Source organism: Homo sapiens, chromosome 11 (assembly GCF_000001405.40).
Source record: "Homo sapiens chromosome 11, GRCh38.p14 Primary Assembly".
Classification (NCBI taxonomy): Eukaryota; Metazoa; Chordata; class Mammalia; order Primates; family Hominidae; genus Homo; species Homo sapiens.
In genome coordinates, this window is record NC_000011.10 from 129,990,298 (window position 1) to 130,006,383 (window position 16,086).

Genomic DNA, 16,086 nt, shown 5'->3' on the forward strand with positions numbered 1-16,086 from the left:
ATCGAGCCACTGCACTCCAGCCTGGGTGACAGAGCGAGACTCCACCACAAAAAAAACAAAAAAAAATTCCAAAAATAAGCCGGGCGTGGTGGCGCATGCCTGTAATCCCAGCTATTCAGGAGGGTGAGGCCTAAGAATCACTTGAACCTGGGAGGTAGAAGTCGCAGTGAGCAGAGATGGTGCCACTGCACTCCAGCCTGGGTGACAAAGTGAGACTTTGTCTCCAAAAAAAAAAAAAAAAAAAAAAAGCAAATTGATACCATACTGGTTTGAAGTAATTCCCTTTATATCCAATTCACACTCCCTATAAACACGTTAATGTGGTCCTCACCTGTTTTTATTATCATTATTTTGTAGAGACGGAGGTCTAGCTATGTTGCCTAGGCTGGTCTCTAACTCCCGGCCTCAAAGTGATCCTCCCACTTCGGCCCCCCAAAGTGCTGGGATTTATAGGCATGAGCCACTATGCCCGGGTCCTCACTTTTTCCTCACTTTTTTTTCATTTTCAGTTTCTCATACCTTTAAATATGAAACACAGATGGTAGAAAAATAAGTATTTTATTAAAGACAGTGAGCTCAGATAGACAACATACTGACATTTTATTGCCTTCATAAAAACTCCGTCTCACTGGCATATAATGAAGACCTACAAGCTACCAAATTTCAACCTCCTCCATCTTAATAAAACCACCACCGTAGGACTATGTTCACTGGTCTAGGATTCAAAGGTACCTTCCATTAGCTGAGGCATTTCTTGAAGTGGAAAAAGAATGTGAAGGCAAGCAAATCACAGGCTCACTGCTAACATAAAGTGGGATAATGTCTGTTACAATGTGGCTCAATAGTATAGAGTATAATGCAAATGTTAATAATTATTTAAATTGTGAGGACCATAGGCTGTTTTAGATCATGAAGGTGTCTCATCCAGAAAAGACTTATTCTCAATTAAAAGATATTTTAATACATTTTCATTATTAAACAATTGTTTTGGGAATAGATCACTCTTAACTGCAGGCTTGGGTTCTCTCTTAACTGATGTATTTCACCAGAAAATATGTAAAGTTCAACTTCAAATTGACAAAATTTTAAAACTATGTGATTAGCAGCTGGGCGCAGTGGCTCACACCTGTAATCCCCGCACTTTGGGAGGCCCAGGTGGGCAGATCACCTGAGGTCAGGAGTTCCAGACCAGCCTGGCCAACATGGTGAAACCCTGTCTCTACTAAAAATACAAAAATTAGCTGGACATGGTGGCGGGCACCTGTAGTCCTAGCACTTTGGGAGGCCGAGAGGGGTGGATCACCTGAGGTCAGGAGTTCGAGACCATCCTGGCCAACATGGTGAAACCCCATCTCTGCTAAAAATACAAAAATTAGCTGGGCGTAGTGGCACGCGCCTGCAATCCCAGCTACTCGGGAGGCTGAGGCAGGAGAATAGCTTGAACCTGGGAGGAGGAGGTTGCAGTGATCCGATATCGCGCCACTGCACTCCAGCCTAGTGACAGAGCGAGACTCCATCTCAAAAAAAAAAAAAAAAAGTAACCGGCCTGGTGGCGGGTGCCTGTAATCCCAGCTACTCGGGGAGCTGAGACAGGAGTATCAGAGAATCGCTTGAACCCAGGAGGCAGAGGTTGCGGCGAGCCAAGATCACGCCACTGCACTCCAGCCTGGTGACAGAAAAAATAAAAATACAAAAATAAAAACTATGTGATTAGCATTTTCTTCCGCAGGAGACACAAAATAGAAGCATTCCTGTTTAGAAATCTTAGCCATAACTATTCTTTGTAAACGCTTAACCAGACCATTTCACTCAGGTGTACCTACAACATGTTAGCTTCATTTGCAAATTCCCTGAAGGAATTAAAGACCACAAAAATAGAATCCTTTAACAGATGCAGCTCTTTATTTTAAAAATCAGTATAATCATAGTCCACCTGATTCGAAATGCATTCTGTGGAAATTCAATGTTACTTAAGTAAACAGCTAGTGGAACAGTAATAATTATAGCTACAGGCATTTATGGAGCACCTATCCCGTGCCAGGCACTGTCAGATGTCCTTTAAATACCTGATCTCAATTAACCCTCACCACAACCAAGAATGATTAATTCTCCAAGGTCACAGTGCTGATAAGAGGAATTTAAGCCCAGATTCCTTTTACTACAAAGCTTGAAGCTCTTTCCCCTGTTTGCCACAACAGCTTTCATCCTAGGCAAAGTGGCCAGGACCCGAGCATGGTTTCCACCTGCTGTTGTAGCCGTGCTCTCCCACCAGATGACGCAATCACCAGGTTAGACTTGATCTCGAGGGAACCAGAGGAGGTTGTAATTCACTACACCCACAAACAGATTTAACTGAGCAAATTACTCAACAGCCAGAGTTGAGGTAACTACAAAGCTGTGATGAAGGGCTCCCATTGTAAAAATTCAAATAATTTTTTAAAACACAAGAATACTTATTAAATGCCTATTCTGTTTCCAGCATTCTTTTAGGAACTGAAGAAGACATTGGATGGACTATATAAACATTCAGCACAGAAGGAAAATATAAATAACATTTATTCACCATTGTTCTAGAAACAAAGCTACCTGTGTGTTCAGAACACAACACAGCAGTCCTGAAATAGTAATTGAATCAGTATTATGAAAATAAATTACTCCAAATACTTTTTCTAGTTCTCTCAGGCACATGCATTTCTCTAATATTGGAACTGCTGGTCATTAAAGTATGCATGTTTTGGACTTTCTTGATAATACTGTTTTCCAAGGTAGTCATATGAATTTATATCTGTACCAGCCATCTATGAAAGTCCCTACTGTTCAACATCCAACTTTAATTTAGGTATACAGTGTTCTGGCACTGTGGCTGAAATGTGCATTTCCTTCATTAACATGGTTGAACACCTTTTCATGTTTATTAGACATTTGGATTTCTCCTTTTCTGAAGTGGCTGTTCAAGACTTTTGCCCATTATTCTATTAGTGCCTGTAGCATCTTGTTTAAGAAATGTTTCTCTATACTAAGGTCATGAGTATCTTCCTATATTAATTCTAAAAGTGTTATTGTTTTGCCTGCCTTTCTGCCATGCCTCCAGGTCATAAATCAAGTGTCTGGCTATGCATAATACTGTTTCTGGACTCCATATGGTGTTCTATTGGTCCATCATTATTAGCCTACCCAGTGCCAATATTACACTATCTTTTTTTTTGAGATGGAATCTCGTTGTGTCGCCCAGGCTGGAGTGCAGTGGTGCGATCTCGGATCACTGCAAGCTCTGCCTCCTGGGTTCACACCATTCTCCTGCCTCAGCCTCCCGAGTAGCTGGAACTACAGGCACCCGCCACCACACCTGGCTAACTTTTTGTATTTTTAGTAGAGACGGGGTTTCACCATGTTAGCCAGGATGGTCTTGATCTCCTGACCTCGTGATCCACCCGCCTCGGCCTCCCAAAGTGCTGGGATTACAGGCGTGAGCCACCGCGCCTGGCCCAACACTATCTTAATTATTATAACTCTTCTTGATCTCTAGCAGAGGTTTTCCTAACTTTTCTTTTTCAAAGTGTTTTGCCTTTTCTTGGGCCTTGGCAAATGTTTTAGAATCAGCTTGTCTAATTTTTTTAAATGTGGGATTACATTAGATCTATAAATCAGTTTCCAGAAAATTGACACATTTACAATATTGAATCTTCCACTCCTTGAGCCACTGTGCTCTTCATTTATTTAGGTTTTATTTAAAGCCACTCAATAAAGTTTTAGAATTTTCTATATCTGTTATAGTTTATAACCATTTAAAACCATGAATCTGAAAAAAATATATTTTGTAAATGATGTATAAGTTTTTGGTGAGATACCTAGAGCTTGGGATAAGTATATATAAGTATGAAAATAAACTGGGGCTGGGTGCAGTGGCTCACACCTGTAATCCCAGCACTTTGGGAGGCCGAGGCGGGTGGTCAGGAGTTCGAGACCAGCCTGGCCAACATGGCAAAACCCCATCTCTACTAAAAAAAAAGTACAAAAATTAGCCAGGCGTGGTGGTGGGTGCCTGTAATCCCAGCTACTCAGGAGGCTGGGGCAGGGAGAATTGCTTGAACCCAGAAGGCAGAGGTTGCAGTGAGCCGAGATCGCACCACTGCACTCCAGCCTAGGTGACACAGCGCAACTCTGCCTCAAAAAAAAAAAAAAAAAAGAAACGAAACTGGTGGTGGTGGTTTGCACCTGTAACCCCAGCTACTCGGTTGGCTGAGACAGGAGGATGGCTTGAACCCAGGAGTTAGAGACCAGCCTTGGCAACACAGTGAGACACTGTCTCTAAAAAAATTAAAAAATATTAAAAAGTTAACATAAAATTTCTTTTTTTCTTTCTCTTTTTTTTGAGACAGAGCCTCGCTCTGACGCCCAGGCTGGAGTACAGTGGCACAATCTCAGCTCACTGCAATCTCCGCCTCCTGGGTTCATGCCATTCTCCTGCCTCATCCTCCCGAGTAGCTGGGACCACAGGTGCCCACCACCATGCCCGGCTAATTTTTTTTGTATTTTTAGTAGAGACAGGGCTTCACCGCGTTAGCCAGGATTGTCTTGATCTCCTGACCTCGTGATCCGCCTGCCTCGGCCTCCCAAAGTGCTGGGATTACAGGCGTGAGCCACTGCGCCTGGCCAACATAAACTTTCTTAAAATGTATAAATGAAACAAAGTTCATCAAAGTCCAATTACTATGACATAATTTCATTTTAATTCCAGAATTACTGTTTTGTAGTAATGTAACATCTCACACTTCCACAGTACTAAAGTACTTGAGAGAACTTGCATGTCACATAAAGTGGTGTCCAAATATTACCATTCATGGGTCCTTATATTTATCCAGTGATAAAGTACTTACACAGTCCGGAATAATTTTCAATTCATCAACTTCAAGAGAAAAAGAATGAAGGAGAAGATGAATACATGATGGAAGAGACTGAAACCTTATTAATATACATCCCCTGCCTGGGGCTGAGGATACAGACCCTTTTCTCCCATGCGCTCTGACCCCTCTCCCATACTTGCATAATTCCCTGACCTCTACCTACTTTCTCTCCTTTGCAAAATTGGACACGGTTCTGTCAATATTCTGTGTTGAAGACTAAACGTAAACAAGTGTCTCAGAGAGGACAGTTAAAAAGTCAAACAAAGAGCAATAATTAGTTAAAGGAATGATAGCTAGTCCCTATTAGAAGGACATTCTATTAAGACTGCCTGTAATCATGGTTTGTGGAAAGACTGAAAATAACCCCCAATAAATTGGCCTCAAAATCTTCAAGCAATTCTAAGAAAATGGTAGAATTTGCACACAAAAATAAGAATCTTGAAAAAAAAAGGCGGGGGAGAGGGGCAGGGGCCGTAGCGCACGCCTGTAACTCCAGCACTTTGGGAGGCCGAGGCAGGCCGATCACCTGAGGTCAGGAGTTCAAGATCAGCCTGGCCAACATGATGAAACCCCGTCTCTACTAAAAATACAAAAATTAGCCGGGTGTGATGGCGGGCTCCTGTAATCCCAGCTACTTGGGGGGCTGAGGCAGGAGAATCACTTGAACCCAGAAGACGGAGGTTGCCGTGAGCTGAGATCATGCCACTGCACTCCAGCCTGGGCAACAGAGCGGGACTCTGTCTCAAAAACAAAAGAAAAGAAAAGAAAAAGAAAAAAAAAGGGAGGAAAACTTTACAAACAACTTCAAGTATTTTAATTCACTCACTTATCCCTCAAAACATTTTAGAATCCAGTAAGTAAAAGGCACTCATTTATACTGCATTCTACGTGAGGGGGCTAAAAATCACCTGTAGCTTCCAGAAATTTAGAATCTGTTTGGGAAGCAAGAAATAAGCACAAATAATTGGAGTACAATACAACGTAAGCACTGAATGTTACTGTTATAAAGCAGTACAAAATCCTGCAGGACCTTCAGAGACAAAAAGGATTACTTTCAAATGAGATGGTCTTGACACTTCAACAAGGGCGGTGTGGGTTCAGCTTGCTCTGGTACAGGGGATGGCGAGCCACAGCCCGCAGGCGGCAGACACCTGTTTTTGTGCAGCCTGTGAGCTAAGAATGGTTGTTACATTTTAAAATATTTGAAAAGACTCAAAAGAAGACTATTTCCTGACACAGGAAAGTTATATTAATTGAAATTCCAAGGTCCAAAATAGTTTGTTGGAACACAGCCACGCTCTCACACTCCACAGCAGAGGGGAACCGTTTTGACAGAGACCATATGGCCCACAAAGCCAACAACATTTACTACCTGGTCCTTTAAAAAGTTTTCCAGCCACTGCTCAAGAAGGATGGATAGGATTCTGGCGGGCAGAACTAGGAGAGGAGGGGAAGGAGAGCAGAGAGGAAGAAACATTCCACTTGGGAAACGAAGGTGTGACAGCAGAGAGAGAAAATCCCGAATATTTAAGGAACAGTGGGAAGACCAGTTTGACCGAAGTGGCGGTTCCAAAAGAGATAAACAAGTTTTGAACCATTTAGAACTGTGTGCTTTGTTATTGAGCCATTTATACAATTGTGGTGAGTGATTAACAGGCATCCTCACTTGGAATCTATGAGGTTGATTACTGTTATTATCCCTAGTAATAATTAAGAAACTAGTTGAAAGAGTTGATAAGAAAACCAAGGCTTACAGAAGTAACTTGCCCAAGATCACAGCCAGCAAGCTGAGCACAGCAGTGAACCTCTTTGCCCCTGAGGCAACGCTGTGAATACTACACCATATAAAATCTCCACACAGGGCAGTAAAAGGAAAGGCATCAATAAAGGCAGCTTAGGGCAAAACTGTCAACGGTGCAAACGTGGAAGTAAAAAAATATGGATTTTACGTGTAGGTTATGTTTCTCCAATTGTGTTTAAAAGGACAGTTCTCCCGACTGGGTGCAGTGGCTCACACCTGTAATCCCAGCACTTTGGGAGGCAGAGATGGGTGGATCGCTTGAGCCACAGGAGTTCCAGACCAGCCTGGGCAACGTGGCAAGACTCTGTCTCTACAAAAAATACAAAAATTAGCCAGGCATGGTGGTACACACCTGTACTGCCAGCTACTTGGGAGGCCGAGGTGGGAGGATCACTTGAGCCTGGGAGGTCAAGGCTGCAGTGGGCTATGATGGTGCCCCCGCATTCCTGCGTAGGTGACAGAATGAGGGCCTTTCTCAAAAAACAGAAAAGGAAAAAAAAAAGACAGTTCTTTCACGAGCTGGTCCAAACGGTTCCTTCCACCTTTAGAATCAAAGTATTGTGGTCTTTTTCTAAATCACAGGAGAAAAAAATGTAAGTTCAATGTTCTCAATTTCAGGTTTCTCTTAAACATTTGAAAAATGGTAAATTCTAAAAATCAATGTATTGAATAACAGACCAAGTTTGGGAAAATTTAGCTGATTATGCTTAGCTCAACTTTTTTTAATGGATTATGTGCTTACCAATGTCATTTTATTCTTTTAAGTTCAAATGATCCATTGAATACATTAATTCAGTAACAGTTAACTCAATTATCTGGAAGTGGTTTTGAGATTAAGATATTCTTCAAAATAATAATCATGCTTTTGTGAGAGCTATCATAAGCACTAAAAAAACAGACATCTACATATTAGCAGTATCTTTTCATTCAAATTATAGAAACCAAAAAATATTACATCTTAATGCCACCTGGGAACACCCTACCCCTAGCTGACTAAGGCTGCACTTTTCAAAGAAATATGCAAGCCACATACATAATTTAAAATGTTCTAGTATACATAGTTTAAAAGTAGAAACAGGTGAAATTAATTATAATAGTATATTGCATTTTACCCAGTCTATTCAACATATTGTCATTTCAACATTTAATCAATATTTTATAAATTGAAAGATATTATTTTTTTCTACTAAATCTCAAAATCTGAGTGTATGTATTTCACACTTCACAGCACTGGCCATATTTCAAGTGCTCAAAACCACAGGTGGCTACTAGACAGGACAGCACAGGTCTAAGGGATCTGATTTCTAGAAATCACAGCAGGAAAGAAGCTGTGGAGTACAACTTTACCATCAGTGAAAGTGAAGGACATGGGTTAAAAAAAAAGGGGGGGAGGAGGAGGAGCATTTGACTCCAATATTCTCCTGTTTGCAATAAACGAGAGTTTAACTAAAAAATGAATAGCAAACTACAGCCTATGTTAGCAGACAGTAACCTTTTAGCAATCCATATAAGGTTCTAAACTATTGTGCACTATTGATTTTATAATTGTTTTCACCACATTTTAACTAGTCTTGCTGTAACTATACTTAGGGTTACCCATACCTTCCCTCTTTCCACTCCACTTCCTCACCCGCTCCCCATTCCCTAAACTATTTCAAGTTACAGAAGAAGAATCTACCTTCAGGTGCTTTCTACAACACAAATTTAAAATCTACACAAGGATGGTCAATGGAAAGGCACAGAAAAATTTTGGAAGGTGGACAGAAATGGCCAGAGTGCTCCACACAAGTCTTGAAATGGTGAAATGGTGTAATAACTTTTTTTTTTTTTTTTTTTGGAGACAGGGTCTCACTCTGGTTGCCCAGGCTGGAGTGCAGTGGCGTGATCTCGGCTCACTGCAGCCGCTACTTCCGGGGCTCAGGTGATTCTCCCACCTCATCCTCCTGAGTAGCTGAGACTACAGCTGTGGGCCACCACACCTGGCTAACTTTTTTGTTTTTAGTAGAGGCAGAGTTTTGCTATGTTGGCCAGACTGTTCTCGAACTCCTGGACTCAAGCAATCTGCCTGCCTTGGCCTCCCAGAGTACTGGGATTACAGGTGTGAGCCACCACACCCGGCTGTGTTATAACATTAAGAATAAAAAAGAAAAGAGGCCAGATATTCCTAAGCAGTGATTCAACTAAACCACGTGAACAGTTTAATGCTAGAACAGCGAAGAGATAAGTGTCACCAATGAGGGCCAAAATAAGTCACGAAAAGTTCCCCTCTCACCCTCCTGCCTCTACCTATCCCCCAGGAGAATTTGAGTGGGATCATTCTCCAAAGATTTGGTTGTAGCAAACATTTCTTTTTGGCTCTTTCTAGACACCAGATCGAATTCTCCTTCATTAATCTATTAAAGTACCTATAATAAGTTAAAATGGTAGACAATAAATTCTGCTTGTGAAAAACAAATTGCTGGACTGGGTGTGGCTACACTATCTGGGGTGGGATGTGATGGGAGAAGACTATGTATTTTAGTGGCAATAGGTCAAAGTACATCAGTGTTCAAGTTTAAAACAAACTGAACAACTCAAACACTGCAACAACAGGATGTTTAACAGTTTCTTTTTACCAGATATAATTACGCGGTTACGAGGTGTTTACCAGTGCTTAAAATGAAAAATTGAGGAAACCAAAATTATAGCTCAGTACTTCTCAGCCCTTTGATGAATTATGTTTGTTATCCAGAAGCCTATCCCTATCAATTAGATTACGCTTTTAAAAAGTTACAAGAAATCAAAATATTATAATTCTTTTAGTTCGGCGGACTTCATGATGCCCCCTTCAAATAATGGAAGTAATGAAAGTGCCCAATCATCAGCAAAGTCTTTAGACACCTATTTACGTCTTGTTTTAAAAACTAGATATTAAACCAAGATTATGTCGTTTGTACAAATATTTTATACACACACAAAACCAACTTGAAATACACCAAAGTATCAGCAAAGATTATCTCTGGGTAATTATGGGTTTTGTTTTTTTTCACTCGCTTCTAAATTTTTTTTTTTTTTTTTTGAGACGGAGTTTCGCTCTTGTTGCCCAGGCTGGAGTGCAATGGCCCGATCTCAGCTCACTGTAAACTCTGCCTCCCGGGTTCAAGTGATTCTCCTGCCTCAGCCTCCCGAGTAGTTGGGATTACAGGCGCCTGCCATCATGTCCGTCCAATTTTTGTATTTTTAGTAGAGACAGGCTTTCACCATGTTGGCCAGGCTAGTCTCGAACTCCTGACCTCAGGTGATCTGCCCGCCTCGCCTCCCAAAGTGCTGGGATTACAGGCATGAGCCACAGCGCCCGGCTTAAATTTTATGTTTTCTCCAATGATCACGCATTATTCTTAAAACTAGAAGGAAAAACAAAACAGGCAAGCAGAAACTTAGGTAGTGCCAATCAATTTGGGATTATATTGAGTTGTGCTATCCTTTATACCTCCATAACCTCTAAGTAAAAACCATTCAGAGCCCTTGAAGACAGGAACCTTGCTTTTTCTAAAATATATACTCAATTACATTGACATACAATATATGATTAATATGTGGTGGAGCATGCTACAAAATATTAGAAAAACTAAAAATGAATTCTTTGAAAAAGCAAAACAATTTTGCCTTGCAAAACGAGGAACAGCATAGCAGAGTGGGAGCTTACGGGGTAGAAGGCACAAGACATTTGTCTTGATCCAAAACAAACAAAAATGTAATCCTTTCACTAAACGTCCCTGTTCACTTTAAAATGGTTCATTCTGTGTCAACTTCACCTCAATTTATTGTAAAAGTAAACCTAAAGGCCGAGCGCGGGGGCCCATGCCTGCAATCCCAGCACTTAGGGATGCTGCGGCGGTAGGATTGCTTGAGCTCAGCAGTTCGTAACCATCCTGGGCAAAATGATGAAACCCCGTTTCTACAAAAAGTAGAAAAATTAGCCAGGCGTGGTGGTGCACGCCTGTAGTCCCAGCTACTAGGGAGGCTGAAGCAGGAGGATCCCTTGAGCCCGGGAGGTCGAGTCGGCAGTGAGCCAAGATCGCGCCACTGCACTCTAGCCTGGGCAACCAGAGACCCTGTCTCCTAAATAAACCTAGCAAAGTTCCTTTCTAAATACCCCATATTGAATAAACACTGTTTAAACGCTGCTTTGCCCCCAACCAATCCTAATTTTAAAAAAAAATCTTGTTTTCTCTATTCTAGAACAACAAATAAGTACTGCTCATCAAAGTGGAAGCTATTGTGATGCTGGAATGGTAGGAAGATACAAAAAAAATACAATGTAATAATACACCTTCTTGCCTTACAGCGATGGAGGAGTGATAGAAACAAAGAGAACAGGTCAGAAAAAGAGGCCACAAAACAGTCATGAGTGATTCTGCTGTTTTTAATAAAGGTTAAGTACTGCTAAGTTTAGAGAATTTGGGGTGACGAGACAGGCAAGGTTTCAACAGGCAAAGCAGCAGAATTAGGGCACAGGGCAGAGCTGGGTGGGTCTCATCACACATCTAATCCTCGATGACAGCACAAAGCCACCTCTCCTTGTGCTTAAGTGTACACGCACATTGATTGAAAATGCACTAAAATCCAACTCATCCACCAAGCAAGGCTAAAGGCGCGCACACAAATTCAACAGCGCTGCGTTCGCGTGGCTGGAGGGCAGACGGGGAATATTCCATTTTACTTAGTAGAGTATCAACACCTAGCTGCAGGGTTAAACCTGCTTAACAAAAGCTGGCGAGGGGCTGGAGAGGTGCACACCATCAGCCCTCTCCCGAGCGCCGACCGGCCTCGCCCTGCCTCTGCGCTGCACCCTGGGTGCAGGCGGACTGGGGCAGGGCCGCGACCCCGGCCTCGGCCTCCGCCTCCGCCCGGCCAGCCCCGACGCGGTGCCACGGGACAGACCCGCAGGGGCCACCCCACACCCCTGCGGGCCGGCCCCCCGCCCCGGTCCCGGACGCTAGCTTGGGAAGGCAGGCCGGGGGCCCAGCCATCGATGGCAAGTGGGCGGCGCGGCCTCCGCAGACAAAGCTGGGCGCCCCATCGAACAGGACCCTCCGCCCCACGCGCCCGCAACCGGCCAGCCCCGGAGCCCTGCCCGCACTGCCACCCCCAGCCCGGCGCCCGGCCCCCAGCCCCCGGTGCTCGGCTCCCGGCCGGCGGAGACCTGCCCGCCGCGCCCGGAGCGCCCGCGCAACCGCCGCCGCCGGAGCGCGCAGGCCGCCCAACCGCCGTCCCGGCCCAACCAACGCGGGCAGGGGAGGAGAGGTGCGCGCGGCCGGCGGAGCGTGCGAGCCACTCGGGGGTCGCAGGGGGAGGCTGCGCGCGGCGAAGGCAGGGGCGACGAGACGCCGAGGCCGGCGCTGAACGCGGCGCCAGGAGGGCCTGCTGGAGGGGGCCTTGCCCTCTTCCCCTTGGAAGGTGCAGATGGTTTGACCCCCCACCCCGAGTGAGGTGCCTCGTCCCAGCCCCGGCTGGACTGTACCATCGGGCGGTGCCGCCGGGATTTCTCCCCCCCACCACCACCATCAATTCCCCCCCCACCCGGGTCCGCGGTCGGTTGGCCCCGGCCGGGCTCTGAGACGCGGAAAGAGCTGGGCGCCATTTTGGGTGGGACTAAGCAAAGACGAAACACCCTCCCAGTCTATGGGGTAGTCTGGACCCTGGCTTATCTGGTTCCCTTAATCCTTTAGGTACTTACACGACGTTGGGTGAGGGGAGCTGGAAGATCAGCGGGTCCCCGATCCTCTCTCCCTAGGGGTGATAGAAATCAACCCCCCCCGCCACCTCCAGGTGGTTCTTCCCGCCGCAGAGTGGGAGCAGCATAAAAGGCGGGGTCTTATTAGCATAATCTGCCTGGCAACCTGATCTCGACGTTATATGATTGGTTAAACTCTGTAAGCCCCATGCCGTGCCTAGAGACGAGAAACGCTGGGGCGAACTGACAGGCCCAGATTTAGGAGTCATGACGAAGATCCTGAGACGCTTATTCAGTCTGCAGAGAAGCCAAAAGGAGATTCACATAATGGCCCAATGACTGAAGGCCTCTTTATTTCGTGCTCTGCTGTTCGTGTAAAACCCAATCGCAGAGCGGGTCTCAGGCGGCGCTCGCCTGCGTTTCTACTCTCAGCCAATCAGAAAACCCGACTCTTCGCATTGGGGTCAAGCCCCCGCTGCGGCCCGCGTGCTAACGGGGAGGAAGCTTCCAGCTGTGCCTGGGTGTCTCGGGCGCCGAGGGCAGCCTGCGCCCGTGCTAAGCCCGCCTCCCGCGCGCCCGAGGGCCCGGTGTCCCGGAAGACGCGCGGGGGTGAGGCGGCCCTCGCGTCCGCCCGCCCCGCCACAGATTGCCTCCGAAGTGGCCTGGCCGTGGAGCGCCGGCGAAAACCGAACTCCCGCCCGGCTCCCGGAGTCGGGAGCCTGCCGGGGTCTCGCCCTCAGGACCCCCAGGGAGCGGCCGGGCGCCGCCTATCACCCTGACCCACCGCACCTTGAGAGCGCTTTCACTGCGCCTCTTTTTTCTCCTCTACCAATCTGGAAAGGAAGTGAGTGTCATTTCAGACATTGAGAAACATTATTCAACACTGGTTACCCAGTGACTCAGCTCACTCCTTAACCGCAGGCTTCCACATCCTGCTGTCCCTTAAAATTGCCTTCACAAAGGGCAGCCAAGAGCCCAGCTTTGGAGAGATACCCAGCTCCAACTACCCACTGGCAGGCAATACGCAGGGCAGCTAGATGGCAGAGAGACCTTGGACCTTCGGACCTTCGGGGAGCGGTTTTCCCTTCGGTGATATCTACCTTGCTATGTTCGTGATATCTACCTTGCTACGTTATTTTGAAGATTAAGTGAGCTCTTACTTTACCGAGTAAAGTGCTTTGCTTAGCACACTGTCTGGAACTTAAATGAGAAGTACTGACAATATAACTTACAAAAATCCTAAACTATTGCCTGAGAAAAAGAGGGAGACAGGACAGCTAAGCAAAAGACGAGAATAGAAAACACCCACAGCGTGAAAAACTGTAAAATTAACTCAATAGTATTCTCTTTACTGTTTTTTGTTTTGTTTTGTTGTTTTGTTTTTTGATACGGAGTCTCGCTCTGTTGCCCAGGCTGGAGTGCAGTGGTGAGATCTGGGCTCATTGCAACCTCTGCCTCCCGGGTTCAAGCGATTCTCCTGCCTCAGCCTCTCTAGTAGCTGAGATTACAGGCATGCACCACCACGCCCGGCTAATTTTTGTATTTTCAGTAGAGATGGGGTTTCCCCATGTTGGCCAGGCTGGTCTCAAACTCTAACGTCAAGTGATTCTCCCGCCTTGGCCTTCCAAATTGCTGGGATTACAGATGTGAGCCACTGCGTCTAGTCTACCATTTTGTTTCTTTAAATAGCTGGAAACAACGTGGAAAGAAAAGAGAGCTTTTTTTTTTTTTTAAACTTCGTGACAGGGTGCGGTGGCTCACGCCTGTAATCCCAGAATTTTGGGAGGCCGAGGCGGGTGGATCGCTTGAGCACAGGCGTTCGAGACCAGCCTGGGCAACATAGTGAGACTCTGTACAAAAAACAAAAAGATTAGCCAGGCATGGCAGTACACATCTGTGGTTCCAGTTACCGGCAGGCTGTGCAGGAGGGTTACTTGAGCCCAGGAAGTCAAGGCTGCAGTGAGCTGTGATCGTGCCACTGCACTACAACCTGGGTGATAGAGCAAGTCTCTGTCTTTAAAAAAACAAAACAACAACAAGAAGAAACTTCAGACAGTTAACTGCTTTGTAAACAACTTCACATCTAGGCCGTGTCTTGTTCTTCCTTAAACCACTGTACAGGTGGCACTGGACTTAGATGAGGCCGACCTTAACATAGCTAGTGAGAGACACTAGTAGCCCTACTCTGGCAACACAGACATGGAAATCAGTTGCCTAAGGAAAGATCATATTGGCTAAGAGAGTCCCTTGAATGCTCCCTTTTAGTGTTACGAGTAGATGAACAATGCCGCAGGTTGGACAGGTCCTTCTGTGTCCTTGCAAAAGCTGCCACTCCACATACCCCTGGCCTCAGTAAGAACGGCTCACTTTTAGATTTAACATCATTACATCCTTGCTGATGAACTGAGATGGTCCCAACTGAGGTCCACTGACCAGAAACAACACCACAGAACCCAAAAGAGAACGCACCATGGGGAATGGGGCTATTCAAACTGAAGAGCCTGAGTTACTCTCATGGCTTTAGAGAAATGTTCTAAAACTTCTAAGTACATAAATATGTGCAGGGAGATTCCTCCCCACAGAGTTTTTATTCAGAGGGTCTGGAGTGAACCTCAGGAATTTGCTTTTTATGTGGATTTTTAAATGATTTTTAAAGTTTACACTGTAAAATTCACTCACTGGGGTATACAAGAAGTATTTATTGAATATGTACTGTGTGCCATTCATTTTTCTAAACAATAAAGATAGAATAGGGAACAACAGCAACCAAAAAAGGCCCTGCTGTCATGCAGCTTTATTCTAGTGTAGGTAACAAGAAGAAAAGAAATAACTCCAGGTCATGATAAGTGCTACAAAGTAAACCAGGAAAATGCAAAGGCAGAGAACGCTGGCAGTTTAAATAGGGTGCCAAAGAAGTTTTCTCTAAGATACTAACATTTGAGCTGAGCCTTGAGTTATGGGGGAAAAAAAAAAGCCAGCCATGTTAAGATCTTGGAGAACATTCCAATCTAAGAGAATGGCAAAAGTAAAGACCATGAGGTGAACAACAAAAAAATTAGTATGGCGTGCACATATTCATTCTTCTATTGAATAGATATTCATTGAATGCTTCCCAAATGCCAGGCACTGTCTTAGATGCTCTGTGATTCGTCAATTAACACTATAGACAAAAGGAAAAACAACACAAAAATCCATGCCTTGACTGAGCTTTCAGTCTAACACACTTGAGAAACAGTAAGAAGGCCAGAATTATTGGAACACAGGACAGAGTGATACAAGAAAGAGTGTAGTGATACAAGGATACAGTGATACAAGAAAACTTGGGGAAATAGGTCTGGGACAGACCACATAAGGCTTTGAAGGCTATGGTATTGGAATTATTATAGAAAGTGCAACTTAATAGGAGCATTGACTAAGTGTGGTAATTAAAAAAAAAGAAAGAAAAAAGTGCAACTTAAACTAGTTGGAGGTTTTAAGTAAGGTAGTAACACAGTTTTGTCTTTCAAAATAACTGGCTGCTCTAGGGTGCTTATTTTGTTTGGGGAGAGGGCAAGAGACAAGGAGTCTGTGCCAATATGCTCTGAATAAGAAACGATGGCCCATCTTGACTGAAATAGAAGTAGCTTAAATGGGGAGAAGTGTATGGACACCAGATATATTTTGGA

The 16,086-nt window shown here is 44.8% G+C and overlaps 1 protein-coding gene and 1 long non-coding RNA gene across 11 annotated transcripts in view, besides 6 other annotated features; one reads left to right on the plus strand and one right to left on the minus strand.

The window, feature by feature from the left end:
• Positions 1-12,538, minus strand: part of PRDM10 (PR/SET domain 10) — a 103,125-nt gene extending 90,587 nt beyond the window's left edge. For all 10 annotated transcript variants that reach the window (NM_001367891.1, NM_001367892.1, NM_001367894.1 and 7 more), the window contains exon 1: positions 12,425-12,538. The gene's annotated coding sequence lies outside the window, so the exon portion shown is untranslated. The remainder of the gene's footprint in view (positions 1-12,424) is intronic.
• Positions 4,155-4,314: a silencer, noted in NCBI's record as "silent region_4069". NCBI's record gives its function as "represses an Ori minimal core promoter by ATAC-STARR-seq in GM12878 lymphoblastoid cells {active_cell/tissue: GM12878}" and the evidence as "EXISTENCE:reporter gene assay evidence [ECO:0000049][PMID:35858748]".
• Positions 11,572-11,751: a silencer, noted in NCBI's record as "silent region_4070". NCBI's record gives its function as "represses an Ori minimal core promoter by ATAC-STARR-seq in GM12878 lymphoblastoid cells {active_cell/tissue: GM12878}" and the evidence as "EXISTENCE:reporter gene assay evidence [ECO:0000049][PMID:35858748]".
• Positions 11,782-11,831: a silencer, noted in NCBI's record as "silent region_4071". NCBI's record gives its function as "represses an Ori minimal core promoter by ATAC-STARR-seq in GM12878 lymphoblastoid cells {active_cell/tissue: GM12878}" and the evidence as "EXISTENCE:reporter gene assay evidence [ECO:0000049][PMID:35858748]".
• Positions 11,842-12,161: a silencer, noted in NCBI's record as "silent region_4072". NCBI's record gives its function as "represses an Ori minimal core promoter by ATAC-STARR-seq in GM12878 lymphoblastoid cells {active_cell/tissue: GM12878}" and the evidence as "EXISTENCE:reporter gene assay evidence [ECO:0000049][PMID:35858748]".
• Positions 12,327-15,189, plus strand: PRDM10-DT (PRDM10 divergent transcript). The gene has a single exon (NR_024233.1). It is a non-coding gene; the product is annotated as a PRDM10 divergent transcript (long non-coding RNA).
• Positions 12,672-12,761: an enhancer, noted in NCBI's record as "active region_5748". NCBI's record gives its function as "activates an Ori minimal core promoter by ATAC-STARR-seq in GM12878 lymphoblastoid cells {active_cell/tissue: GM12878}" and the evidence as "EXISTENCE:reporter gene assay evidence [ECO:0000049][PMID:35858748]".
• Positions 12,872-13,261: a silencer, noted in NCBI's record as "silent region_4073". NCBI's record gives its function as "represses an Ori minimal core promoter by ATAC-STARR-seq in GM12878 lymphoblastoid cells {active_cell/tissue: GM12878}" and the evidence as "EXISTENCE:reporter gene assay evidence [ECO:0000049][PMID:35858748]".
• Positions 15,190-16,086: the final 897 nt, after the last annotated feature.